General features: G+C 39.2%; 1 pseudogene; it reads left to right on the top strand.

The window, feature by feature from the left end:
• LSM3P3 (LSM3 homolog, U6 small nuclear RNA and mRNA degradation associated pseudogene 3) lies at positions 782–1,504 on the top strand (annotated as a pseudogene).

Here is a 3,321-nt window from a genome sequence, read left to right as displayed (position 1 = left end):
GCCAACTTCATTCTTTTGCATATGGCTACCAGTTGTCTCAGCATCATTTGTTGAAAAGACAATTTTTTTCCCATTGAATGATCTTGACATCTTTGTCAAAAATTAGTTGACTGTAGACACATGGTTTTATTCTTGGACTCTCAATTCTATTCCGTTGATCAATATATCTGTCCTTATGCTAGTACCACATTATCTTGATTGTTGCTGCTTTGTATTAAGTTTTGAAATAAGGAAATGTGAGTCCTCTAACTTTGTTCTTCCTTTTCAAGATTATTTTGGCTATTTGGAGTTCCTTTCAATTCCAAATAAACTTGAGAATCAGCCTGTCAATTTCTTCAAAGAAGTCAGCTGAGATTTTGATAAGAATTGATGTAATCTGTAAATCAATTTGGAGAGTATTGCCATCTTAACAATATTAAGTATTCACAAAAAAGCCTTATGGTAAAAATAAATAAATAGGCTGGATGTGGTGGCTCATGACTGTAATCCCAGCACTTTGGGAGGCCAAGGTGGGTGGATTACTTGAGGTCAGGAGTTCAAGACAAGCCTGGGCAACATGGTGAAACCTCATCTCTACTGAAAATACAAAAATTGGCGGGTGTGGTTCTGGGTGCTTGTAATCCCAGCTACTCTGGAGGCTGAGGCAGGAGAATGGCTTGAATCCAGGAGGGAGAGGTTGGAGTGAGCTGAGATTGTGCCATTGCACTCCAGCCTGGGTGACAAGAGTGAAACACCATCTCAATAAATAAATAAATAAATTTTAAAATATTTACGTCTTCTGGAAACATGGCGGACGAAGTAGACCAGCAACAAACTACCAACACTGTAGAGGAGCCCCTGGATTTTATCAGGCTCAGCCTAGGTGAGAGAATTTATGTGAAAATGAGAAATGACCGAGAGCTTCGAGGCAGATTACCATGCTTATGATCAACATTTAAATATGATCTTGGGAGACATGGAAGAAACTGTGACTACTATAGAAATTGATGAAGAAACATATGAAGAGATATATAAACCAATGAAATGGAATATTCCAATGCTTTTTGTCCAGGGAGATGTCGTTGTCCTGGTTGCCCCTCCACTGAGAGTTGGCTGAAACAAAGAATTTGTCCTGTATGGAAAATAGGAGACTTTGCACAGTGGCCTCTCTAAATGTACAAGACATTCAAAAGAGAATCCTGCATACATTTTGATATTAAGAAATAATTCTGAGGCCGGGCGTGGTGGCTCACGCCTGTAATCCCAGCACTTTGGGAGGCCGAGGCGGGCGGATCACAAGGTCAGGATATCGACACCATCCTGGCTAACATGGTGAAACCCCGTCTCTACTAAAAATACAAAAAATTAGCCGGGCGCGGTGGCGGGCGCCTGTAGTCCCAGCTACTCGGGAGGCTGAGGCGGGAGAATGGCGTAAACCCGGGAGGCGGAGCTTGCAGTGAGCCGAGATTGTGCCACTGCACTCCAGCCTGGGCGACAGAGTGAGACTCCATCTCAAAAAAAAAAAGAAAAATGAAATAAAAAAAGAAATAATTCTGGGGATTCTTCCACTCCTGAAATGAGTTGATTTGCAGATGACTCATAACTAAGCTAAATGGTATTTTCATTTCTCTCAAGCTCTTTCAATAAATATGACCACCAAGAGAAAAAAAATTGTCTTTTAATCCATGAACGTGTAATACTTTTCTTTTTATTTAGGATTTGTTCATTTCTTTCATGAATATTTTCATAGTTTCCAGAGTATAAATTTTATGCTTCTTTAGTTAACTATATTCCCAGGATTTTATTCTTTTTGATGATATCATAGATGAAATGGTTTTCCTAATTTCATTTTCAGATTGTTCTTCACAAATGTGTAGAAATATAATTAATTTTTGTATATTGATCTTACATCTTGTGATCTTGCTGAATGCATTAGTTCTAATAATTTTTTGTTTGTTTGTTTGTTTTTTAAGACGGAGTCTCGCTCCATTGCCCAGGCTGGAGTGCGGTGGTGCTATCTCGGCTCACTGCAAGCTCCGCCTCTCCGGTTCACGCCATTCTCCTGCCTCAGCCTCCTGAGTAGCTGGGACTACAGGCACCTGCCACCGCGCCCGGCTAATTATTTTTTCTTTTGGTATTTTTAGCAGAGACGGGGTTTCACCATGGTCTCGACCGCCTGACCTCATGATCCACCAGCCTCGGCCTCCCAAAGTGCTGGGATTACAGGCATGAGCCACCGCTCCTGGGCAAGTTCTAATAATTTTTTTACTAGATTCCTTACGATTTTCTATATATAAGATTTGCAAATCAAGATAGCTTTACTTCTACCTTTTCATCCTGATGGCTTTTATTACATATTGTAGCCTAATTGCCCTGGTTGGATCCTCCAGTACTATGCTGACTACAATTGGTGAACATCCTTGTCTTGCTCCTGACCTTAGGGGGAAAGCATCTAGTCTTTCACCGTTAATTATGCTATTAACTATGGGTTTTTCAGAGATGCCCCTTATCAGGTTGAGAATTCCCTTCCATTTCTAATTTATTAAGTATGTTTTGTCACGAAAGGGTGTTAGATTTTGTCCAGTGCTTTTCCTAATTGTATTGAGATGATCGCATAGTTTTTGTCCTTTATTTTATTGATATGATGTAGTATATTAATCGATTTTCATATATTGAACCTACCTTCCATCCTTGAGATAAATCTCACCTGGTCATGGTGTATAAAACTTTTTATACGTTGCAAACTTTTGTTTGCTAGTGTTTTGTTGTGGATCTTTGTGTCTATATGCATAGGGATATTGGTTTATAGTTTTCTTGTGATGTCTTTGTCTGGCTTTGGTATCAGGGTACTACTGGCCTCATAGAATGGGTTAGGAAGTATTCCATCCTCTTCTATTTTTTGGAAGAGTTTGAGAAGGGTCGGTGTTAGTTCTTCAAACATTTGGTGGGATTCATCAGTGAAACCATCTGGTAGCTTTTCTTTGTTGAATGTTTTTAGATTAATGACTCAGTTTCTTTGCTTGTTATAAATATATTCAGATTTTCTATTCCTTTCGAGGTAATTTTTGTAGTTTTTGTCTATCTAAGAATTTGTTCATCTAAGTTATCCAGTTTGTTGACATACTTTTTTCTTTCTTTCCTTTCCTTTTCTTTTCTCTCTTTACTTTCTTTCTTTTTTTTTTTTTAGAGACAAGGTCTCACTCTCTCACCGAAGCTGGAGTGCAGTGGCATGATCATAGCTCACTGTGATCTTGAACTCCTGGGCTCAAGAAATCCTCCCACTTCAGTCTCCCAAATAGCTAGGATTATGGGCATCCTACTATGCCCAGCTAGTTAAAGAAC

The sequence above is a fragment of the Homo sapiens genome, chromosome 2 (genome assembly GCF_000001405.40).
Source record: "Homo sapiens chromosome 2, GRCh38.p14 Primary Assembly".
NCBI classification, from domain to species: domain Eukaryota; kingdom Metazoa; phylum Chordata; class Mammalia; order Primates; family Hominidae; genus Homo; species Homo sapiens.
The sequence above is the reverse complement of the archived record's forward strand: the minus strand, read 5'-3'. Positions and strand labels throughout refer to the sequence as shown.